We start from the raw sequence: 26,167 nt of genomic DNA on the forward strand, positions 1-26,167 counted from the left end.
AATATATGAGTTTCTATCCCCAAGAAGCTCTCAGTATGAAGAGGCAACAAATTAATAAACAAATGTCACTGGTACATTGAATAAGTAGGTCTCCAAACTAGGGTTGGGGTTTGGCAGGTAGAAACTCTAGTCTTTCTCTCTGCTAGTTGTCTAATCCCATTCTGTGAACTTCCCTACACGGAAAGTGGAAGAAATCTTGGGCAGCTTCCATAAACTCTTTTGAATACTCTTAGTGCAAAGTCCTTGTATCTGTTAGTCACAAGAACAGTAAGATTTCAGTTCAGTTTAATAATTTAATTGTCACTCAAAGTTAAAGTTTCTCAGCTCCCTGACTTGGGCTGCCTCAGGCTGGAGAGAAGGCAATGGGAAACAAGGGCCGTGGTCAGTTTCTCCTCTATATCCTTCCCCTGTGCGTCTCTTCTCCTCTGTTCCCCACAACCCACCACACTGTGGCTCTTCCAGGGCTGGAGCTGGGAAAGACAGAGAGAAACAGCAAGAGGTTTCTTCCTGTCAAGCACTCTTGCGAGCATTGGTGCTCTCTGGCCTCAGAGGATGTTGGAGCTGACCCTTCCTATCATGGGTGCTTTTGTGGGATCCACAGAGGTACGCCCACTGGAGTCTTCTCAAAAGCCCCTTGATGTGGGCAATGCCTGTCTTCTGGCTTCTCATTCCTCTCTGTGGCCCTAGCCATCCACATTCATACCTACTCTACTGAAGTCACAGTTCCCTGTCTTCTGGCTGTCCTCTTGGGCAGGGTCCAAAAATAGCTCCAGGCTGTTCTGTGTTGGTGAGTCCATGTCTGGTCAATGAGAAACACTCATGCAGTCTTGCCAGCTTTTATGAATGAAAGTGCAGCTTATTCCCAGCGAAGGTCTGTCTCCCTGTGCTCTGCCATCAGACAGGTGGCTCCAGCCCCAGTCTTTTTACCTCAATATTCTCAGGCACAGAACTGAAGCCCTCACACCCCATGAGACTTCTGTTTTTCTCTTGAATGCTCCTGCTGAAGCCCTCTTGCTTGACTCAAGGAGAAAGGAAAGTCTCTTCCTCCAGTCCCTCATTGTGGGTAGAGGGAGAGAAACAAACTACCTATAGTCGATGCTCTTGGAAGAAATCATCCCTCTCCCTGTGACTCTTCAACTCTTTTATGTCCCAGAAATAGATAATGATCTCACAAAACAGGTCTTCGAATCCCAGCCCTTGTGGTCTAGCATTTCATGTTGGAATTATGGTAGTACATAGCACCCATATTTTCAGTCTCAAACTTCGGGGTCTTAGTAGCAATGGAGACATAAAAAGAAGATTCCATTTTGACAAATAATGATAAAGCGTTTTGACAAGTGATGGTATAGAGATCGTTTATGCAGAGAGGGACCTCATTCCTTTCCTGAAAGAATTAGAAAGGATTTCTCAGAAGTGACATATGAACTGCTTTTTAGGCAGAAGGTATGTTCTATGCAAAAGCATAAAGATATTTACATGGCATGCTCCATGAAGGGTGCAGTATGATGAGAATATAGGGGATGTGTGTGCTGGATAATGGTGGGAGATGAGCCTCAAAGGCCAGATTACAGAGGTCTCACATGCCATGCTAAAGAGTTTGGCCTTTACTGAGCACAAAAGGGAGCCACTGAAGGGGTTGGTGCGGGAGAGGTCGGTCCTGTTCAAATTACCTGGGAGGCCATGTGCAAGCTGAACTGGAGGGAGCAGAGGCAGGACAGTAGAAGAGTTAGGAAGAGACTGCAATGGAGACATAGGGGCGGAGGTGGCTCTCAGGACTCCTTCTGGTTTATTTGCATATATTTTGACTTCTAAAGCATTATGCTTATGAAGACAACCACATGTTTTTGCTTAATTTTCTGCTGAGGTCATATCCTATTTTTAGAAATGTATTCTGTGCAAAAAATATATATGTAACAAGCTTAGTGTAATGGTTTCAAATGCAGGGCTACATAGCTCCAGAGAAATAGAAAATCTTTGGGGTCTTGTTTCTAATTGTATTCACACTTATCAAAAAGTCACTTGATAATTATTTTATAAGGCAAAAAAAGCAGATAAGTCTGCCACACAGCAACAACTTTCCAGACAAACAGAATTCCATGTAAGCATTAACATGTGAATTGCACTCACTCATTCTTTGCTTCCATGTCTTGTTTTTTGACACATTATTTGAAAATAATCTTATCCCTGATGCTAGTTGTTTTTCCCAGAAAACTACCATGCACACAGATGTATATTATTTTCATTGAAGTGTGCATCTTACTGTCTCCTGAAAAACACCCTTAAAAACACTGAGGGAGAATATTGGTTAAACTATGTAAATCTAGCTTAGGCTATCCAATCTAGTTCCTTCTTTTTTTTTTTTGTTTGTTTGTTTGTTTGTTTGTTTGTTTGAGACGGAGTTTTGCTCTTGTCACCCAGACTGGAGCACAGTGGAGCTATCATGGCTCACTGCAACCTCTGCCCCCTGGGTTCAAGCGATTCTCCTGCCTCAGCCTCCCAAGTAGCTGGGATTACAGGTGTTCACCACCACATCTGGCTAATTTTTGTATTTTTAGTAGAGACGGGGGTTTCACCATGTTGGCCAGACTCATTTCAAACTCCTGACCTCAGGTGATCCACCCACCTTGGTCTCCCAAAGTGCTTGGATTACAGGCATGAGCCACTGCGCCCAGCCAATCTGGTTCTCTTTAAACAATTACTCAATACGTTCCAAAATTTAAGACCAAGGGGCTCATTTCCTCATTACTGTTTCACCCTTTTATTTCTTTATCTGGCTATATTATCAGCCTTTACCCAACATTATGATAATCTTATGTTTTCAATGGGATTATAAGAGTTTTCTTAATTAAACATGAAGCAAATTCCAATCCTCAAATTTCACTAGAAAACACAGAGGCTGGCCAGGCTCAGTGACTCATGCCTGTAATCCCAGCACTTTGGGAGGCCAAGGCAGGCAGATCTCTTGAAGTCTAAAGTTCGAGACAAGCCTGGCCAACACAGTGTAATTCTATCTCTACTAAAAATACAAAAATTAGCTGGACATGGTGGTGGGCACCTGTAATCCCAGCTACTCTGGAGGATGAGCCAGGAGAATCGCTCCAGGAGGTGGAGGTTGCAGTGAGCCAAGATCGTGCCACTGCACTCCAGCCTAGGTGACAGTGAGACTCAGTCTCAAAAAAAAAGGAAAGAAAGAAAACACAGAGGCTTATTGGATAACAGTTTCTAAATATCCTTCCTCTTACCAGACATGATTGTAGATCAGTTTCATTCACAAACCTGGTAGTCATATGATGAGAAGACCCCAGAGAACATGACCCAAGTCTGCTACCGTTCTGTAGGAAGTTCTCACAACTAGACTTAGGTGCAGTTTCCCTAACACCCACGCTTCACAGGCACTCCTTGAAGGCCGAAGTTATGTTCCCTTTGCCTCAGCATCTCCTGAGCCCCACATCAGACCTGGAACACAGTAGGCCTTCAATAAATGTTGATTGAATTGTTTTACTGAATTTTATGCAGGGTCAGCCAGACCTCTTAGAAATCTTGTCCCAGATGTTTTGAAGTTCTTTTTGTGGAGTTTGCTCACAATCAGCAATTGCTTTATTGCTTCTACAATAAAAATTAAATCAAGGAAGAATCACTCACAGAAGGAAGCAGAGCCTGAGGGATTTAAGGCTATTTCATGTCCTTGCCTAGCTCTGGTTTGGTCTTCTACTGAGCAACTATGACTTTAGCTTTAAATAAAGAAAAAGAGAAGGAAAGAAAAAGATTAGAAATATTGGGTGAGCTTTTTAGAAGAGGAAAGAAACACCATCATTGTCATAAACAACAAGAAACATTTCTTGAGCCTACTAATTTGGGTGCAACTATGGAATCACTTGAATCACTTCGAAGGCCTCCACTTTGAAGAGGACAACCTACAAAGGGCAAAAGGAACATAACTTCAAACTTGCTTAGACTTGACTTTTTTAAAAAGAGACTCGAACTATCTAAATCATCTTCCAATACCCCATTTTTAATTTAAAAGCAGAATAAATTGTTATTCATTAATGTGTTAAAAACATCATCTTAATGTGTATTAGTTTTAGGAAAAATTTATGATAAAGTAGGATGTAATTTTATGTTTTTACATACATTTACATAGTTCCACATATCTTTGTATAACCAATGTGTGCTTATGACTTTTATATAGGACTTGGGGTGTGATTTTACTATTTTAAATTGTTTTAGAGGACTGTAGTTGCAGGTTTGTCTTTTTCACATGTTATTGATCATGACTATATTTTATCTGATACTGAGTCTTTGGTCAACCTTTAGTTTTAATTACAACCTTGTCACTACAGGAGAAAATGTTCCATTTTACAAAGACATGATTTCAAAGAACACAATGTGGCCAAAAGAGGGAACTAACTATAAAATGTACTTAAGGCAAGGCTACAGTCACAGTGATGACAGGAAAAGTCTTAGGAAGAAGGGGACTAGCTAACAGATTGTAAGATGGATAATCTTGCAATTATCCATCTTTCTGGGGAAATAGGCCTCAATCTGTTATTTGAAGGAAAAGAAATAAAGATGAGAAGACACACTGTAGGTGGCTGCAGTTATTGTTACTTAACATCTGTTGAACAGAACGCATTGTATTGCATAGGCCTGCACTCTCCTCTACTTATTCCAATTACTCCAACCAGGTAACAGAGCACTCAACAGCATGGAGAGTGAATGCATTTGTTTTTCTTTATAACACAGCATATAATTATAGCTTGCCTACCATGACCTAGGCACCATCCTGGGGTGGTATATAAGGACAAATGTAACTTGGTCTTCGTTCTCGAAGGGCTCACAGGTCTAGTAGGGGACAGACAAGTGGATGGTGCAGTAAGTCCTGTAATGGAGACAGTATTGGAGCACAAAGAAGCGGGTACTAAATCTCTGTTTGTGGGCATGAAGAAGGCTCCCTTCAAAAAACTATGAAAAGATGAAGACATCCAAAAGAAGGCTCAGCTGATCCTTTCTTGGTCTGCCAAGGGCAGCAGCCTCTCCCAAGCAGGGGCAGCCTCAGCCCATCCTACTACCACATGGAAGGGGAGCAAGAAGAGCCTTCCTCCTAAAGACAGTGATCCATAGACAGGGCTCCCAACCACTGTTTCTTCCACAAAGCCCCAACTCTCCCCCAGCACAATAGGCAACTGGACATCCTGGTTGTTCCGCTGGTGACAAACTTATCATAGAGCTTCTCTGAAACTAAGCCAGAGAAGACAATGAGCTTTTTCTAGAACTTAGAGGATGCAGCTTGAGTATATGTGATGTTTGGAGAAATGACATTCACCCCATTCATATCTTCAGAAAATGAAGTAGGCGTGCAGGGGAGAGTAACTTCTAACACTCTGTCAGTGTCTTGGCCTCTCCAATTCTCCCCCAATGACCCAGCCCATAGGAGTTCTATCTCTTTGCTATTATTCTTTTGTTTTTTTGTTTTTTTGTTTTTTTCAGTCAGAGTCTTGCTCTGTCGCCCAGGCTGGTGCAGTGGTGTGATCTGGGTTCACTGCAACCTCCACCTCCCAGGTTCAAGTGATTCTCATGCCTCAGCCTCCCAAGTAGCTGGGACTACAGGCTTGTGCCACCACACCTGGCTAATTTTTTGTATTTTTAATAGAGATGGAGTTTCACCATGTTGGCCAGGCTGGTCTTCAACTCCTGACCTCAGGTAATCTGCCTGCCTGGACCTCCCAAAGTGCTGGGATTATACGTGTGAGCCACCATGCCTGACCTATTCTTTAAATCTGTCTTCTGCGAAGATCAAGACATTTCAAACTTAACTGGGAACAATATCTTTGTTCTCTGACTCTACTTGCCCTTGGGAACTGGAGACCTACCTCTAGCTGGCCAAATTTGGGATGCAGCACTAGGGGAAGGGAGGTGGTGCAAGGGTCCACAGGATAAAAGGAGGCTTTGCTTTTACAGAATCTGTTAATATTTCGCTCTTCTTATACATACTGCTTTGATTGTCTATCTGTCAGATGAGTTAGTTGCACAGACAAGAATTGCAATTGAAAAAAAACTCTTAAGAACGTGATTGAAATTGAAAATTGGGGTGGGAGGGGGGTGAGGGATGAGAAATTACTTAATGGGTACAATTTACACTATTCAGGTGATGGCTACGCTAAAAATCGAGACTTCACTACGACACAGTATATCCATGTAAAAAAGCTGCACTTATACGCACTAAATCTATCATTAAAAAAAGGAAGCAGCTTCTCATCATGGCGGACTCTAGAGGTAGGGTGCTTCAGGACTACCGCAAGAAGCTGCTTGAGCACAAGATCGACGGCCGTCTTAACGAGTTAAGGGAACAATTAAAAGAACTTACCAAGCAGTATGAAAAGTCTGAAAATGATCTGAAGGCCCTACAAAGTGTTGGGCAGATTGTGGGTGAAGTGCTTCAACAGTTAACTGAAGCAAAATTCATTGTTAAAGCTACAAATGGACCAAGATATGTTGTGGGTTGTCGTCGACAGCTTGACAAAAGTAAGCTGAAGCCAGGAACAGGAGTCGCTTTGGATATGACTACACTAACTATCATGAGATATTTGCCAAGAGAGGTGGATCCACTGGTTTATAACATGTCTCATGAGGACCCCTGGAATGTTTCTTATTCTGAGATTGGAGGGCTATCGGAACAGATCTGGGAATTAAGAGAGGTGATAGAATTAGCTCTTACAAACCCAGAGTTATTTCAGTGGGTAGGAATAATGCCTCCAAAATGCTGTTTGTTACACGGACCACCAGGTATGGGAAAAACACTCTTGGCACAAGCTGTTGCTAGCCAGCTGGACTACAATTTCTTAAAGGTTGTATCTAGTTCTATTGTAGACAAGTACATTGGTGAAAGTGCTTGTTTGATCAGAGAAATGTTTAATTATCCCAGGAACCATAAACCATGCATCATTTTTATGGATGAAATAGATGCTATTGGTGGTTGTCCGTTTTCTGAGGGTACTTCAGCTGACAGAGAGATTCAGAGTACTTCAGTGAAGTTACTGAATCAAATGGATGGATTTGATACTCTGCACAGAGTTAAAATGATCATGACTACAAACAGACCGGATACACTGGATCCTGCTTTGCTGCATCCGGGAAGATTAGATAGAAACATACATATTGATTTGCCATATGAACAAGCAAGATTAGACCTACTGAAAATCCATGCAGGTCCCATTACAAAGCATGGTGAGAGAGATTAGGAAGCGATTGTGAAGCTTTCAGATGGCTTTAATGGAGTAGACCTGAGAAATGTTTGTACTGAAGCAGGCATGTTCGTAATTCGTGCTGATCATGATTTTGTAGTACAGGAAGACTTCATGAAAGCAGTCAGAAAAGTGGCTGATTCTGACAAGCTAGAGTCTAAATTGGACTACAAACCTATGTAATTTACTCTAAGATTTTTGATAGCTGCATGACAGATGTTGGCTTAATGTAAAAATAAAGTTAAAGAAAATAATGTATGTATTGGCAATGATGTCATTAAAAGTATATGAATAAAAATATCTATGAGTAACATCATAAAAATTAGTAATTCAACTTTTAAGATTGATACAGAAGAAATGTGTTGTTTGTTAATGTTGCATTTATTGCAGCAAGTTGCAAAGGAAGAGTGTGTTGAAGCTTTTTGTATTTGCTGTGTGAGCATTTTGTAAAACACTGAAAGTGGTTTGAGATAGTGGCATAAGAAAGTATTTCTTATGACTTATTTTGTATCATTTGTTTTCCTCATCTAAAAAGTTGAATAAAATCTGTTTGATTCAGTTCTCCAAAAAAAAAAGGAAGCATACTTACATTTGCCTTTTATAGCTCCATAGGTAAAGCCATGTAATATGAACCAATGGAGATAGAAACATGTTCTAATAGCATGTTCTCAAGATTTGCTTACAAAGATGTTTCTCTGTCAAACACTTCCGTTCTTGAAAGAAAACAGCTTGTGATGCATCTTAAAGAAACCATGCTTACATTTGCCTTTTATTGCTGGATATCTCGTCTTCTACCAGTAAGTACCAATGAAGAAAGAAACATGCTCTAATACAAGCTTGTCCAGCCCACAGCTGGCACATGCGGCCCAGGACAGATTTGAATGCAGCCCAACGCAAGTTCGTAAATTTTCTTAAAACATTATGAGATTTTTTTGTGCAATTTTTTTCTTTTGTAGCTCATCAGCTATCGTCAATGTTCGTGTATTTTATGTGTGGCCCAAGACGATTCTTCTTCCAATGTGGCCCCGGGAAGCCAAAAGATTGGACACTCATGCAATATATTCTCAAGGTTTGCTTACAAAAATGTTGCTCTGTCAAACACTCCCATACGCTGAAATAAAACAGCTTGTGATGCATTTTTAAAAAATAAGAAATTGAAAAATTAGGCCCACACTTGAGTTACATCATGAGTTAAATAATCTTTCTTTTCTTTTTTTTTTTTTTTTTTTGAGACAGAGTCTCTGTCTGTCACCCAGGGTATACTGCAGTGACACTATCTGCACTCACTGCAACCTGCAACCTCTGCCTCCCAGGTTCAAGTGATTCTCATGCTTCAGCCTCCCAAGTAGCTGGGACTATGGATGTACACCATCACACCCAGCTAATTTTTTGTTGTTGTTGTATATTTTTTAGAGGCGGAGTTTTGCCATGTTGGTCAGGCTGGTCTCGAACTCTGGCCTCAAGTGATCCACCCACCTTGACCTCCCAAAGTGCTGGTATTACAGGTGTGAGCCACCGCACCCTGCCGAGTTAAATAATCTCTCTTTGTGTGACTTAGGAAACTTAACACCAATTGCCACTGGAAAAAAAAAAGTATTCTGAAGGCCAAACTGTATTTATATGCATTGTGTAGATGATTCTGTTAATATGCATATCCTGATATAAGTCTGATTTGTGAATTTATAAATGCATGTACTTATAACTTGCATATCTGTGGTATCAAGAGTTGTGGAACTTTGTCTCTATCCCTTGCTTATATTCCCAGGAATATATAATCCCTTTGCTTTCTAGTCAGTTAAGCAAATTTCCCTAACCTGAACTAATTCAACCTAATTTTCTCTTGTGGGAGTAACTGGCCTATCTTCTACAGATTTTTTTTTCTTTTCTTTTCTTTTAATAATAGAGACGAGGTCTCACTATGTTGCCCAGACTGGTCTTGAACTCCTGGGCTCAAGCGATCCTCTAGCTCCAGCCTCCCAAAGTGCTGGTATTATAGGCCTGAGCCACTGCACCTGGCCCAGATTTTTCAATGATAAGAAAAAAGTCTCTTTCTTTATTTGTGCTTTTTCACAATGATCCTGTTCCACTTTGGAAGCAGTTCTCCAATATATACATCAGTATTTACGGTAGCTGCTGCCACACAACCACCAAAACAGCTTTCTAAGAAACTACACTGCTTTACTGGTTCTATCTATTTCCTCAAGTTCTAAATGGTAGGTTGTAGTGCTCCAAGATTCAGTCATGTGATCTCTTTTTTATCTACTTCTCTATTTATCTAGGTGATCTCATTTCACCCCAAGACTTGAAAGATCTCAAATGTAGAACTCCAACCTTGACCTCTACCCTGAACACTTCATACTCATATCTAGCTGCCTATTTGATATCCCTACTTGGACATAAACTTAAAATATATAAAATAGAACTCCTGATTCCCTACCCCCACATACAAACATACACACACACGCATATACACAAAACATGTGCCTCCCACAGTATACCTCAACTGAATAAAAGGTAACTCTGTTCACCCAGTGTGTCCAATTTCTCAGGCTGAAAACTGGGAGTTATCATTGGCTTTTCTCTTTCTCTCTTATCCAGTCTATATCCAGGATCCAACCACATTTTGCCCTTACCTCCATCATCGTCCTGATCCAGGCCACCATCATCTCTCACCTGGATTATTACAACAGCTGTCTAACTGGCCTCCCTGCCTCCACCATGCCTCTCACCACAAAGCAGTCTGAGTAAGTTCTTAAAATATTCAGTTGGATCAGGCCAGTTCTTTGCTCATAATACTATAATGGCTTCCTATTTCACACAGGATAAAACCCAAAGTCCTAGCCATAATTTACAAGACCATACATCATCTGTCTCTCTTTGATCCTGATGCTCTTGCCTTATCTCTTACCTCATCTCCCCGAATCCCTTCCACTCTCACTTTGATCCAAGTACACTGGCATAACCTTAAACATGGCAAGTAGCTTCCCCAAGACCTTTGCTCTTGCTGTTCTCTGCCTGGGCTGTTCTTCCGTGAGATGACCTCTGCTTCGTTCAAATTTCTGCCCAAATGTCACCTTATCAGGAATATATCTAACCATCTTATTTTAAAAAAGCAAGTCCGCTGCCCACTCCTCCTTTATTCCCTTTCTCCAGTTTCATTTTTCTGCATATCCCTTGCCACCTGTCATATACATTTTTGTATTCATCAACTGTCTTTCCATACTTCTCAATACACTCTAAGAAAACAGGGACTTGACGTGTTTTATTTTACCCTATCCACAGCAACTAGAATAGAGATTGGCACAAGTATTTTAAAGCATTCGTTGAATAAATAAATGAATGGATTTTAGAGACCTCAAAACATTATGTTCCCAATGGGCTGGCCACATGGTTGCTGGCTATGCCAGAGGACATTCCGCTGGAATTGCCTTGCTTCAGCCAAAAGAACAAATGATGTCTGTACATCATGTTGAGTATTGAAAATACATCTGGAAACATTATCCTACCCTGGTACCCAACGCTGGAGTGCCTCACCTGGACTACTACATGTAGCGTTAGCTCTTATATCTCAAGAAATATCCAAATAAAAGCAAGTATAAAGATCCAGAAAATGGAGAGGACTGCCAGAATAAAGAGCAGGACATTTCAGGCTGGAGTGACAGAAGATGAAGAATATGATCAAACTCTAGAAAATCAAAATGCTGTGATCAAGCCCAAGGTGAACTTCTATACCAAATCCAGGATCAAAAAAAAAAAAAAAATGGAGAGGAACCCCTTAAAACTTGAAAGGTTGTGTGGTGGATGGAAAATGCATGGCCTATAAGATAGGCACAATTGAGTCTAAACCCAAGATCTGGCTGCATGTATGACCTTGGACAAGCTACCAAATGACTACGAACTAGTACCTGTATGTAAAATTCTGATAAGGTGCCTGCATCACAAGTTTGTTATGAAGACAGTGCACATACCAAGCACACAGCAAACATTTTTTCTCTTTCTGTGGTGAGAAAAATATTGGGATAAATAAAAGGAAGTTCTAAACCAGAAGGCAAGCTTAGGCAAGTTTTGTTATAGGATGGGGAAAGAATCAGGTGAATTAACAGAGGCAGAAAATATATATTATCTTATATTCTTTCTGCATTTTACAATCTTCAAACTGTTTTCACTGATGTAATCTCCTTTGACCTTCACAAACTATCTTGTGAAGTAAGAAAGGTAAGTAAAATGAAACCCATTTTACAGATGAGGAAACTGAGGATGGGGATTTTTTTAAGTCCCCTAAAACAGGTTCCATGATTTTTCCACCAATCCAGAGGGCCTCTTCATAGAATTCAAGTCACTTCTCAGAAAAGCTTAGTCACTTAGGAGAGAGCCTCTGTGGGTGATTAGCAAAGATGTCTGAGGAGTTAGTATGTAAGTAGAGTCAAGAACCACCAAGCTTTCTCAGCACACCTCTTAGGCCTGTTATGAAAAGATTCAACTGGATGAGCCCTGGGTCTGACTCTCTGGAGCAAGTCTCTCAGTCCTCTGCTTGCTTTCCTTAACTGGGCATGAATGCAGTCTATCAGTGAGGCGTGCCCATGGCGATTTTCTTTCTGCCTCTGGTTTTTGAAAAGCATCTAGTTATGCATTCCCGAGGGTGGAGGGCAGACTGGGGAATCCTGGGTCTTCAGTCACAATAATGCCAGTTACCAGAAACAGCTAAACCAAATTTATAACATATGTTTCCATAGCCTCAAATATCCACCATTTGTCCCATGACCTTCTCTCTTTAAACAAATGCCAAACAAGGAGATTCAATTATTCAGTCAGTCTAAAAGGAATTGGTTTATGCTGAAATCCAGTGCTGAGTTTATATAATTTTACACAATGGGTCACACTGAAAGCTTTATGCAAGCTTGTAGCTGCAGCTAAGAAAGATTCCTAGCTTTCTTTATAGCTGAATTATTATCTAGGTAGAATCAATCCTCAAAGGAGAAAGCTAATTACATCACACCAGTTTTTGAAATGAAAAACGACAGAGAAATAACATTCATTCATCCATTCAATAAATATTTATTGTGTTCCTTTGAAGTGGCAGGCACCATACAAGGTATTAGAAATACAAAATGGAAAAGAAATAGTTCTTGGTCTCAGGAGTTCAGGGCTTTGTGTACAGATAGACACTGAACAGTCTGAGTCATTTAAAACACAATGTGATAAATATTATAATGGAAATAATTACAAGGTGCAGTGGGAATCCAGGCTGCATAATTCCTAAGTGTTACTAGGAGAAATCACTTCAGCAATAAGGATGACCAACTCAACCTAATTTTCCTGGGACTTTCCTTATTTTACCACTGATGCTCCCATGCCTGGGAAATCCCTCAGCAAACCAGGATGGTTGGTCATCCTACCTGCAATGCTAAACAAACAAATAAAAGTTATGTTTCTGTCTGCAAAAGACCACGTTCATTCCCAGAGGCACATGGGATCAGAATGACTTCATTAGAATGAGAATTCAGTAGCTGATGGAAAAAACGGATCTTTCATGGCTCTGCCAGACACAAAGGAAGAGTCAGCCTGATGTGTTAGAGAGAAGCTGTACATGGTTTCCCTGCCCTTGCCTAGAGTCTTGGGATAGCTATTTAACCTCTATGAGAATTTGTCTGTTTATCGGTAAAATTACACTAAATATTGTAGTAGTCAGAATAAGTCAGGTTATGCTGCTGAATCTTACTGGCTATAAAATTAAGTTTATTTGCATTACAGTTCAGCTGGAGTGTGCTGCTCATCTCACTCTAGGAGCTCAGCAGACAGAGCAGCCACCATCTCAAAGATTGTCTGTCCCCAGGGCACAGGGAAAAAAAAAAAAACATTCTTCCTGCCTCAGGTAATGGTTTTCTTTTCATCCACCAGCAATCCCTAAACCAACACCACATGGTGGTAGGCTTTTTTGTTGCAGCAGCATAACCTGGCCTATTCTGACTGATGGGGATAACTTAAAGTGTAGATGTGAGACTTAGAGGAAGTAAGAGAGTGAAGACTGCTTGGTAAACCCCTTAAGGGCTGATATGAATGTTTGAAAACATGCTTGTGAACACTTACCTGTCATCTAAGATTATTCATATAAAAACTATCTTGTTTAGGCTGGTTGAGGTGGCTCATGCCTGTAATTCTAGCACTTTGGGAGACTGAGATGGGTGGATTGCTTGAGGCCAGGAGTTCAAGACCGGCCTGTCCAACATGGCAAAACCCCGTCTCTACTAAAAATACAAAAATTAGCTGGATGCAGTGGCAGGTGCCTGTAATCCCAGCTACTCCTGCCAAGGCAGGAGAATCACTTGAACCTGGGAGGCGGAGGTTGCAGTGAGCCAAGTTCGTGTCACTGCACTCCAGCATGGGCAACAGAGGGGGACTCTGTCTCAAAAACAAAACAAAAAAAACCTACCTTGTTTAAAAACCAAGTTAGTGTTGAGGTTAGGGTTAGGCTGCTAAGGAGTCAGCATTCCTGGTTTGACCTTTCTACCAACTAGTTAAGTTTTTCACAAAGAATCACCTTTTCCACTGCTAAAGACTGCAGCCTTGGTCCCACCCAGTTATTCTTCAGACAAATAATGAGCAGCTGATCCCAGGGCCAGAAAGTGCAGTTGGCAAAGTGATGCCCTTCCCTGCTACCGAAAAAACAACCCCACGCTACACCATTCTCATGTTTTTAAAATGGACTTTTAAAAGCCCCTGGATCATTTGGAACATATTTCCCATGAGTTTTAAAACATTTTAACTCTTTTCCCCTCCATTTCATCATGAGCTTCCCGTTGGTGCTAAAGATAGTCATAAACAAACTCTGTGGTCTGTCTCTCAAAAAAGAAACATATGCAAATTCCAATTATCATCACTTTTTTCTGAGAATGGAAGAGCTCTGCTTCCTAGAGTGTAATGTTCATTTGCAAATTGCCTTTTGACAGGCGAAAATGGCACATTTGAACTAATGGCCTCTCCTTTTTAGAAACCATTCAAAAGAATTGGGTCGATAGATGTAACATCTGATTACAGAGTGAGTAGCAAGAAGGGGATTTTACCAGGGATCATTGAGCAAGAGTCTCAACATGGCCGAACTTTTTTTACAACTGAAGTCATCCATTAAACTCTAATGAACATGTGCATAACACATTTCCTGTGTAATCGAGACATCAAAAATTTCTGCCCTTTTAGTTAAGTGAAATGAAATGTTTCTCTTAAGTCTGATGAATAAATAGGTTCTTTTAAAAAAAATCCATAAAAGTTTAATTCTGTTTAGGCAATTCCCATTATGAACTTGCTTAAAAATGAGTTGTCTGTCCTACAGCATTTTATAGTGAATGATTTCCTCCTCTGATGAACACAGCAATTACTTAGCTGCGTTCTTAGATATTAAAGCACATTCTCTAGAGTTCAATTTTGGTTAGTTTCATTCCTGATGACATTGGGAATGAAATTTCAGCATAATCTCATGAGGATCCATGGACAGGAAATTGTCCAACAACAAAACTCCAGGGAGGCAGTAAGAGACCAGCTTGCATCTGAAGTTGAAGATGTTGGATGATAGGAGCCTAGAAATCAGCATAGAGGAAGGGACTCCTGGGGATAGCAGAAGAGTCTCCCAGGCAGCCCTCATCTTGGGAAATAATTACCTTTTCCTACCAAAATCCTTAGTGGGTTATTAAGTCCCTCCTTTGTTCGTGGGCAGAGGGCCTTTACAGACTTCAGGCAGTGGGGATTCTAGAAGAGACGTTTTACAGATGGTATCCTCAGAACTCACTCCAAGTATAGGGGACTACAGAACCACATTGCCTGCACTGCACAAAACAGAAACAGAAAAATAATTCAAATTTCCCAATCCAGGAGCCTAAGATCCCTAAGGTTCCATGAAGAGGTTTAGGGGAATCAGAAACTATACTTAAGATTCTCCCCAAAAAACTCATTCACCTGGAGGTTTTGACTTGTCTGGGGGAGTGTGGGGGTTAAAAAAAAATCAAAGATGACAATTCACACCAAAAAACAAATAACAACACACAAGAAACTCACAGCTGTGTTCAAGTGGGAACGCCAGTACTGTTTTAGGAGGAAAGAGGACAAAGGCAACAAACCAACATCTGCTTGCTTGCTATCTGGTACATCACCAAGGTGACAGCAGCTGGGTACAAATCAACTGCTCTTTCTCTTTTGCTAGCCACAAAGCTGCTCACTGTGGCTAGGCTGAGCTTGTCAGGACACATTCATGTGTGATCTAATACACACTAAACACTTAATAAGCAAATCTGAACACATCTCTAGAAGCCCCATGCAAAGAAAAGACACTCCCAAAGAGAGATCAGTCCCAAGAGCTCAACAATTCAAGATTTTACCAAAAGATACCCTGTTACCTCCTAAATTGCCAATTGCTTCTCAAAATTTTACTGCAAAAGGGAAATCATGACAAGAATTCTTAGGGTGGTGGGGGAGAAAAAGCTACTTTTCCTAGTCATTAGTACAGTGTGCCTTGTTAATTAGGTATCTTTATATACATTAGAAAAAGTACTTTACTTGCATGTTCTCATAAAATGAATTCTGAGTATAGCAGAATCATGTTAGATCTGTTCAGATATAAATTTTTACAGCTATATAAAACAGCCTATGTGTACTTTTTTGCCATTTTTAAACATGATTTTTTCATAAGAAAAATAAAGATTACACTACATGTGATGTATATGTAATGGATTATTATGCCAATAATTTTGGTCTTTAACATACTTCTTATTCATTAGGAGCAGATGGGGGTACCCAAGATTTCATATTAGGACTTTCTGTCCTGAATTTTGATTGAGCAAAATCTGGAAAATGTGAAAGCCTATTTAGATTTTTATATATTCTCTGAAATGTGATTTCCCAAGATTCTTACATTTGACCCTCTTGCAATAATTTTGAATGAGATCTCCCAACTCGCTTCAGAGAATAGTTTTCACAGATATCTTTAGGCCTTCATTAGAAAGTATTTTCCCCCTGTTGGTACATTTGGTGACCTCATTTTGCTGTTTGTTTCAGATTATGAATGCTCACAAGGATGTCTGTAGAATCATTTGCTGAGTCATTTCCTCAAATCATATTCCATTATATCAGTTAACATATAGTTTTAAATGCACATATTACAAATATCTGTAACCAAATCATCTGAAGGCTTCATAAATTTTTAACAAAGTTTGTCCATTTTTAATGAAAGTTACTAGTAATGCTTTACTAAGCAGTGCAATGAATTTTTTATTTTCAATCCTTGTGCCCGATTTTGGAGTTGAGGGGGTTGTTGGTAATAAATGCATGACGTATACTTTAAAAAATATTATCCCCTTACTTGTTGATTCCTTCAATAAGTGTTTCTCAAAGGCCTATGATGTATGAGGTACTCTGCTAGGTCCTGGAATTAATCAGCAAATGAGACAGTCATACTGCCTGACCAAACATGAAGCTCACATCTGGAATTATACAACTACTTTCAAAATTAATTATTTAATTAAAAGTGTGGTAAATGGTGCAAGAGAGAAATATAAGATATTAGAAGAGCACATACCAGGGGATATGACCCTGTCTGAAATTCATGGAAGGCTGCTCTGAGGATGTGCTGTAGAAATGGAGAGCCACGGAAGGATGAGTTAAAGCTAACTAGGCAAAATTGTGAAGAACATTACAGACCTAAAGAACAAGAAATGCCATTGTCAATGAGCTGTTGGTGACAATGGCGGTTTTGTAGAATAGAAAGGGGGGAAAGGTGGGGAAAAGATTGAGAAATCGGATGGTTGCCGTGTCGGTGTAGAAAGAGGTAGACATGGGAGACTTTTCATTTTGTTCTGTACTAAGAAAAATTCTTCTGCCTTGGGATCCTGTTGATCGGTGACCTTACCCCCAACCCTGTGCTCTCTGAAACATGTGCTGTATCCACTCAGGGTTGAATGGATTAAGGGCGGTGCAAGATGTGCTTTGTTAAACAGATGCTTGAAGGCAGCATGCTCCTTAAGAGTCATCACCACTCCCTAATCTCAAGTACGCAGGGACACAAACATTGCGGAAGGCCGCAGGGTCCTCTGCCTAGGAAAACCAGAGACCTTTGTTCACTTGTTTATCTGCTGACCTTCCCTCCACTATTGTCCTGTGACCCTGCCAAATCCCCCTCTGCGAGAAACACCCAAGAATGATCAATAAAAAAAAAAAAAAAACAAAGAACAAGAAATGCAAAGGCCCTCAGGTGAAAAGAAGAATGGCACTCTCAAGGAACAAAGACAAATCAAAGAAAGCTAGGTGCTGGAGCACAGGTGATGAGCCGGTGAAGAAAGGAGAAGACCGAGAAGGTTGGAGAAGACCGAGAAGGTTGCCAAAGTTTGGGAGCTGGGGGAGGGGAAATGGTTGCCTATTAAATTTTACAGGTAATTTAAGTTGTATTAATTGTCATCAAATAACAAATCCAACTATACAAATAACTATAAAAGACTCTATGGAGGGCTCCCTTTTCCACCTACCCTTTGCTTCAGTCTCATTTTAGAGGTAAGCACTATGAACAGCTTCTGCAAGAAGCTGGGAGCTTAAAATGGCTATCAGTGATAAAGGAATCAGGGCCAGATGCGGTGGCTCATGCCTGTAATCCCAGCACTTTGGGAGGCCGAGGCGGGTGGATCATCTGAGGTCAGGAGTTCGAGACCAGCCTGGCCAACATAGTGAAACTCTGTCTCTACTAAAAATACAAAAAATTAGCTGGGCCTGGTGGCAGGTGTCTGTAATCCCAGCTCCTCAGGAGGCTGAGGCAGGAGACTCGCTTGAACTGGGAGGCAGAGGTTGCCGTGAGCCAAGATTGTGCCATTGCACTCCAGCCTGGGCAACAAGAGTGAAACTCCGTCTCAAAAACAACAACAACAACAACCAAAAAAAAAAAAAAAAAAACAGGAAAAGAAAAAGGAATCAAACACATACAGGCTACCAGCCCAGGATAGCTATGAATAAGTTTGCCATAACCTGAGACCACTCTTAGAAGAAAATATATCATCTTATCAAACTGAAACTTCAAACCTGCCCCACATGTAACTATGTAGGAAACCTAAGTTAAGAAATTATCATAAAAACCTTCACAGAGAAACATTAGTGAAAGGATATAAAGATCTAAATAAATAGAGGGATGTACCATGTTCAAGGACTGGAAGATTCAAAATTGTAAAGCTGTTAGGTCTTCCTAAATTGATCTATATATCCAGTGAAATTTCAATTCAAAATCCAAGCAGCTTTTTTAAATATGGAAATTAACAAGCCAATTCTAAAATTATGTAGAAGAGAAATAAAACAGAAATAGCCAAAACACTCTTGAAGAACAAGATGAGAAAACTTATTCTATCAGATATCAAGACTTAGCATTAAGACAGGAGGGCATTGGCATAAGGATAGCAAATTGTCTAATGGAACAGAAGGGAGAGTCCAGAAATAGATTCATGGATATATGACCAAAATGATACTACATTAGCTGGGTGTGGTAGTGCATGCACCTGTAGTCCCAGCTACTGGGGAGGCTGAGATGGGAAGATCGCTGGATCCCAAGAGTTCAAGGCTATAGTGAGCTATGATCACACCACCGTACTCTAGCCTGGGACAGAACTGGACCCTATCTCTAAAAAAAACAAAGTTGCGGGTATGGTGAAACTTGATAAATTTGACTTTATTAAAATTTGGGATTTCTGTGCATCAAAAGATACCATTGAGAGGCTGGGCATGGTGGCTCACGCCTGTAATCCCAGCTCCTTGGGAGGCTGAGGCAGGCAGATTGCTTGAGTCCAGGAGTTCAAGACCAGCCTGGCCAACATGGTGAGACCCCATCTCTACTAAAAATACAAATTAGCCGGGTGAGGTGGCGCGTGCCTGTAGTTCCAGCTACTCACCGGCTGAGGGAGGAGAATTCCTTGAACCTGGCAGGTGGAGGCTGCAGTTAGCCAAGATCACCTCACTGCACTCCAGCCTGGGCAACAGAGTGAGACTCTGCCTCGAAAAAAAAAGAAAAAAGATACTATTAAGATGGTAAAAAGGCAAACCACAAACTGGGAGAATGTATTTTTAATACCTGTATCAGACAAAGAATTCATATCCAGAATACCTAAATGACTCCTATAAATTAAAGAAAAAACCAGATAACCCAGTTTGTTAAAAATGGACAAAAGACTTGAACAGACCTTTCACAAGACAGGATACCCAAATGGCCAAAATGCATTTGAAAAAGGGCTGCTCAATGACAACAGGGAAATGCAAAGTAAAACCACAATGGAATAACACCATACACCCAACAGAATTGCTAAAATTAATAATATTGACAATATCAAGTGTTGTGAAGGATATGGAACAACCAGAACTTTCATACATTGCTAGAAGGAGTGTAAATTTGTCCAGCTACTTTGGGAAATCTCTTTGGTGTTATCTATTATATTAAAGTTTAACATATGTATCCTATGAGCAGTTCTATTCTCAGATACCCATCCAATAGAAATACATATACACATACATCAAAAGACATGTACAAAACTGTGGCAAGATTATTAGTAATACCCTAAAATTGAGAATAACCCAAATTTACAACAGTAATAGAAAGGATAGATACAGTAATAAAAATAACAAAAGCGCAGCTACATACATAACATGATTTAATCTCACAAACATATGTTGAGGAAAAGACGCCAGAAACAAACAAAAAAATACACACTGCATTTATATATGATTTATATAAAGTCCAAAAGAAGGTAAAGTTGTTAAAAACCAATTAAGGGGGCTTAGAGGAGCCGAAACACGTTCTGCATGCTGGCTGGGGCTGAGATTCCAGACCTGGGCGGGTGGCGTCCGGCTGCCGAATCCCGCGGGGTCCTGGGAACCCTGAGAAGCGCAGAGCCATCCTTGCCTCAGAACTTTCCGCAGACCCTTCGCGATCTGCAATCTGGGGGTGAAGCAACATGGATGCAGCCAGCCAAGGCCCTGTGGAAGTCGTGCTTCTCAAGCACACCCTGGATGTCTGGTCACTGTCCTCAGCATCCGGGCCATCATTGTCATCATGTCCTCCTTGTTGCTGTGCCCAGGCACTGCAGTCATCATCTACCGCACGCAGACCCATCGGGTCCTCAGTGGGGCTGTCCGCGAGCCTCCCAAGAGGGCCAGGTGAGGGATGAGAACAGGAGTCCCCTCCGCCAGCCTCTTCCCTGTGCTCAGAAAAGCAGTGGGAAGGACGGTGGAGTGTGGACTTGAGTTCTGGTTTTGATTCTGCCGCGGGCCAGCTGTGTGAATTTGGTCGAGGGACCTAACTCTATGAGTTCCAGGTTCCGTGTCTTTCAAATGCAGATGATCCCTGCCCTCCCTACCTCATAGGATTGTGAGAGCCACATGACTTAGTGGAAGTGAAAGCTGTTTGTGAGCAGTAAAGCCGCCACAGATATACAGGTGTTATGCTGGGTGCTGAGAAGCTTTGAAGAACCAGGGAATCTAATTGCTGCTGATGCCTTAAAGGTGGTGAGGGGGACACTGGGGGCACAGCAGACTTTCCCAGTGCCTGTCAGGTCAAACCAAGCAAAGGGCACCCTGACATGATTCCAAGGGGCCAGCAGCAGCACATTGGCTCAAAGTTATTCTTTTTTTTTTTTTTTTTTTTTGAGACGGAGTCCTGCTCTGTCGCCCAGGCTGGAGTGCAGTGGCGCAATCTCGGCTCACCGCAACCTCCGCCTCCCAGGTTCAAGCAATTCTCCTGCCTCAGCCTCCCAAGCAGCTGGGACTACAGGCGCACACCACCATCCTCGTCTAATTTTTGTATTTTTAGTAGAGTCAGGGTTTCACCGTGTTGGCCAGGATGGTCTGGATCTCCTGACCTCGTGATCCGCCCGCCTCGGCCTCCCAAAGTGCTGGGATTACAGGCATGAGGCACCGCGCCTGCCCAAAGTTATTTTCTGTAAAGTGCTACTCCCTCATGTTTTCTCAGTTGGGAGGGAACTGTGTATAGCTGGCGATAGCTGGTGGGAGAGGGGTAGGAGGGGGAAAGGGGTTGGGTGGGGGGGTTGGCAGAACTTTCCAGAACCTTCTCTGTGGACTCTCTGCACCTATATAATCTGGAAGTGGGCTCTACCGTCTTTGGGCAATGCCAAGGGAGTTGGGGTGATGGGCATCTTTTCACACTGGAGTCTCTGTCTCTATTAGCTTTGACACCCAAGCAGTGTTGGAAAATGCAGGGTGACTGAGTTCCCTGCCCAGCTTTCAGAATCTCCAGCCCCCATTCCCTTATGTTCCTCACCCTAAAGAAGCCTGTTCCCTCTGCCCAGCTCCTGCTATAATTAGCTCCATGTGTACCCCCTTCACTCCCTCCCACCAGCACTGCAGCCAATCTAAGGTACTTATATTTTAAGAGATATTCCCAGGACTTTTGGAACCAATGCAAAACAATGATGGCTATTTTAGATGCTATGATTATTATTTGTATAGAGCTATTTGTGGACACTCAAGCTCTTTGATACCAAAATCAGGAACATCTTGGGATTTATTAAATTATATAAGATAGCATAACACAGATATCAGGATATTATTGTGTGAAAATGATGCTTTTACTTTGATCTGATTTCATCAATGTATGCAACCAATTTCCAATAAAGTGTTAGAATGTGCTAAAAAAGAATTAACTTTGAGGAGAAGGGAGGGGTTAGTTATTAGGAAGGGTCACAAGGGGGAATTCCTAGGGTGCAGGTAATGTGCTATTTCTTGACTAGGATAGCAGTACACTTACTGTAGACTTTTCTACAGTATGCTGTAGTATAACTAAAGGGTACTAAATAAAGGAGGGATAAAAGGACAGGACAGAAAGAGAGAGAGAGAGATGGGACCAGCAAAACACCAGGCAAAACCAAACCAAAACACCTTTGTTGTGAGACATTTGCAACTCAGAGAACACATTACTCCAAAAAAAATGAAATGAAAAACCAATAACCTCTAAAGATAATCTCCCAATAAAATTATAATCACCCACAAAAACGAATCCTCAATTGGGATTGCATTAAGTGCACAGATCATCTTAAAGATAATTGGCATCTTTACTATAATAGATAACTGATTAAGTATTTACTATGTGCCTGGCACTGGGCTGAGTGTTCTGAAAAGATCATTTTCTTTAATTCTTATACTTGACACACTAGTTAACTAATAATATTACTCTCATTTTACAAACAAGGAAGCTAGACCTTAGAGGAGTGAAGCCATTTTCCTGAGATGATCAAGGAAGGAATGAGTAGAAATGGCAATCAAACTCAAGCTTTAGGCTCATAGCTACCACATTAAACTTTCTGTGCAGAAACATGGAGTATATTTGCATGGACTCGGGTGTTCTTTTTTCTATCTTTCAATAGTATTTTAGAATGTTTTTTAAATACATGGATTTACATATTTTTACTATTTCTGATATTTTATCATTTTGATGCTATTATGAATAAGATCTTTTTTTCCATTACATTTTCTAATTGGTTACTGCTGGTGATTAGGAGACCTACTGATTTTTTAAAATCTTATATCTGACTACCTTCTTGTTTTTCAGGTAATTCTCTTGGATATTCCAGGTAGTCAAGGTAAAGTAAGTAAATAACGACAGCTTCCTCTCTTTCTTTTCCCCTGACTACCTCATTTGCCAATATTTGTGCATTTTATGGCATGGGGGAAAGATTCATAATGTACTGTGGGTGAGGAGGGACCTTTAATACATTCCAGGCAGAGGGAACTCTATGTTTGAGCATGAGGTTATGAAGCAGCTTGACAGATTCAAGAAACTGGGAGTAGTTTGACAGGACTGTAAAGTAGGGCACAAATGAGGGAAGCAAAAGATGGTAACTTGAAAGAGAAAACAGTGGATCTTGAAGGATGACAAGTCATTAAGAGACTTCAAGCAGAGATGTAGCATGATAAGATTTATGTTTAAGAAAGAATGCCAATGTCAGCAGTGCAGAGGACTGACTGAAGAAGGTGGTACTGAAGAAAGGGAGAAAGGTTAGGAGGCTGCAGTAATGAGACAAACAAGTGGCGAGCCATCCATGGAGCAACAGAGAAAGGGCATGGATCTGGGAGAAAGGAATTCTACTCATTCAACCTCCATCTTGTTGTGATTTTTTTTTTTTTTTTTTTTTTGAGACAGAGTCTTGCTCTGTCCCCCAGGCTGGAGTGCAGTGGTCTGATCTCAGCTCACTGCAACCTCCACCTCCCGGGTTCAAGTGATTCTCCTGCCTCAGCCTCCCGAGTAGCTGGGACTACAGGCATGCACAACCACGCCCAGCTAATTTTTTGTATTTTAGTAGAGACGGGGTTTCACCAAGTTGGCCAGGCTGGTCTTGAACTTCTGACCTCAAGTGATCTGCCAGCCTCAACCTCCCAAAGTGCTAGGATTACAGACATGAGCCACCGCACCCTGCCCTAGTTGTGATTTTGGACCAGTTACATAATCTCCCCAAGCTTCAATTTTTGTAATCTGCAAAATTAAAATAATAGCACCAACCAGCATGACTATGAAGCTTAAGTAGGATAATTTGTGTGCAGTGCACTCAAAAATGGTAGATCTTTACTACTAAGCCAGACATTGACGGTGAGAATGAAGTTGAGATCACAGATTCTAGGAAGGCAAATCCATCAAAGTGCCATGCCAGAGTTAGCACTTCCTCTTCTGAGTTATGAGGGAAGGTGAATCTTGACGTTACCCCCTTTCACCCACACACGAAATTCCACCTCTCCTATGTTCCTTCTCCCTGCCCACACCTCCCAACAAGCCCATCGCTAAGACAGCTCTGGGTGTTGGATTTGAACATAACATAGTTAAACTACATGGCTCACAAATTATTATGACAACTCAGCAACAAAAAAAACCACAAACAACATGATTTTTTAAATGGCCCAAGGACTTGAATAGATATGTTTCCAAAGAAGATGCACAAATGGCCAACAAGCATGGGAAGATGCTCACCATTAGTCACTTGGGAAATGTAAATCGAAACCACAATGAAGTGCCACTTCGCACCCACGAGGATGGCTATCAAAAAATGCAAAAAACAAGTGTTGGGGAGGATATGGAGAAATTGAAACTCTAATATACTGTTGGAAGGTAAAGTCATTTGGCCACTGGAGAAAGTAGTTTGGTGTTCCTCAAAACATTAAACGTAGAATTACCATATGACTTAGCAATTTCCCTCCTAGGTATAGTGCCAAAAGAATTAAAAAACAGGTGTTCAAACAAGTACATGTATTGTATACCCATGTACACAGCAGCACTGTTCACAATAACTAAAAGGGAGATACAGTTCAAATGTCTGCCAGTGGATGAATAAACAAGAGGTGGTGTATACATATAATGGAATATTATTCATCCATAAAAGGGAATGAAGTACTGATACATGCTACAACATGGACGAACCTCAGAAGCATTATGCTAAGTGAAAAAAGTGAGACACAAAAGGTTACCTATTGTATGATGCCATTTATATTAAGTATGCAGCAAAAGTAAATCCACAGAGGCAGAACACAGATTTGTAGATATGAGGCACAGGCGGAAAGGGGGATGGGAAACAACTACTTAACACCTATAGGGTTCCCTTCTGGAGTGATGAATATGTCATGGAACTGGAGGTGACGGTTGCACAGCATTGTGAATGCACTCAATGCCACCAAAATATTCACTTTAAAATGATTAATTTTATGTGCTGTTACTGGTACCTAAATAAATAAATAATTTTTTAAAAAGTATTATGAAAGCCTTTTCACAGAAAGTGGATGTGATCAGCTGCTAGAGTTCAGATATACCTACCTCAAGTTACCAATGAAGGTAGTTTGCATTAAACCACTATGGTACCCACTCCAGTCAGTTTTTAATGCCCAGGCAGTCTGTATTGCTTAATAACACCAGTAACCCCAGTTAGGTGCGGTGCAATCTCCTGCTGATGTCAATACCTTAAACTAGTTGGAGCCCTTATTTTTCCTTCAATTATCTTGTCTTCCCACAGTCCCTCTGAACACTTCCAGCCGTAGCCTGGCTCCAGGAGCCTTTTGGAGGCAAGTTTTCACCCTTGGAGTTGAATCTTTTTTGACTGCAATGTCTCTTTGAAAGTTCTTACATACTATTATATGAAAATATTGCCTTTCCATGCCTTGACTATATAAGCTCCATGAGGTTTGGAACTGTGCTTCTTTTGTTTACCACCTTACCTGGTACATAGTACAACAAAGAAACAGGTTGTTTAGATCTCAACAGACCCAGGGGTTTCCTTATCTGCTATTTTAACTGCTTCTGAGTGTGACATCACTGAAACAAAAAAGTCAGATAGGTAAATTGTCTTTTAATTTTAACTTTGTAATTATCCTGTGTGCATAGGAAAGAAGATTGACTAGAAACTAGCTCATGCTTCTCTTATATCGCCATTCTCCTCCCCAGACAAAATACTACCTTGACCCCTATATCAACTCATGAAACACAGAATCCTTCTCAACCTCTTCCACCTGCAGCTCTTCCATAGGGTGTCTTTATTACTGCCTGAAAGTAAAAACTCTAGGATACTAATTCAATAGTTTAAAAAGTGAGGCCAGGTGCGGTGGCTCACACCTGTGATCCCAGCACTTTGGGAGGCCAAAGAGGGCGGATCACTTGAGGTCAGGAATTTGAGGCCAGCCTGGGCAACATAGCAAAACCCCATCTCTACTAAAAATACAAAAATTCGCCAGACATGGGCATGGTGGTGCACACTTGCAGTCCCAGTTGTCAGAAGGCTGAGGTGGGAGGATGGCTTGACCTGGGAGACAGAGGTTGCAGTGAGCTGTGATTGCACCACTGCACTCCAGCCTGAGCGACACAGCCAGACTTTGTCTCAAAAACTATATGAGGGTGTTTAATCCTTTGTCTTTTCCTAATGCAACGAATT

The 26,167-nt window shown here is 41.1% G+C and overlaps 2 pseudogenes, besides 1 other annotated feature; both read left to right on the forward strand.

Annotated features, from left to right (window-relative positions):
• Positions 6,248–7,438, forward strand: PSMC6P2 (proteasome 26S subunit, ATPase, 6 pseudogene 2; annotated as a pseudogene).
• A 12,656-nt stretch (positions 7,439–20,094) lies between these two features.
• Positions 20,095–20,409, forward strand: LOC107984479 (small integral membrane protein 3-like; annotated as a pseudogene).
• Positions 20,642–21,473: an enhancer, noted in NCBI's record as "H3K27ac-H3K4me1 hESC enhancer chr12:68881905-68882736 (GRCh37/hg19 assembly coordinates)". NCBI's record gives its function as "activates a minimal SCP1, AML or CMV promoter by ChIP-STARR-seq in naive H9 embryonic stem cells {active_cell/tissue: H9 hESC(naive)}" and the evidence as "EXISTENCE:reporter gene assay evidence [ECO:0000049][PMID:30033119]".

The sequence above is a fragment of the Homo sapiens genome, chromosome 12, assembly GCF_000001405.40.
Source record: "Homo sapiens chromosome 12, GRCh38.p14 Primary Assembly".
Classification (NCBI taxonomy): domain Eukaryota; kingdom Metazoa; phylum Chordata; class Mammalia; order Primates; family Hominidae; genus Homo; species Homo sapiens.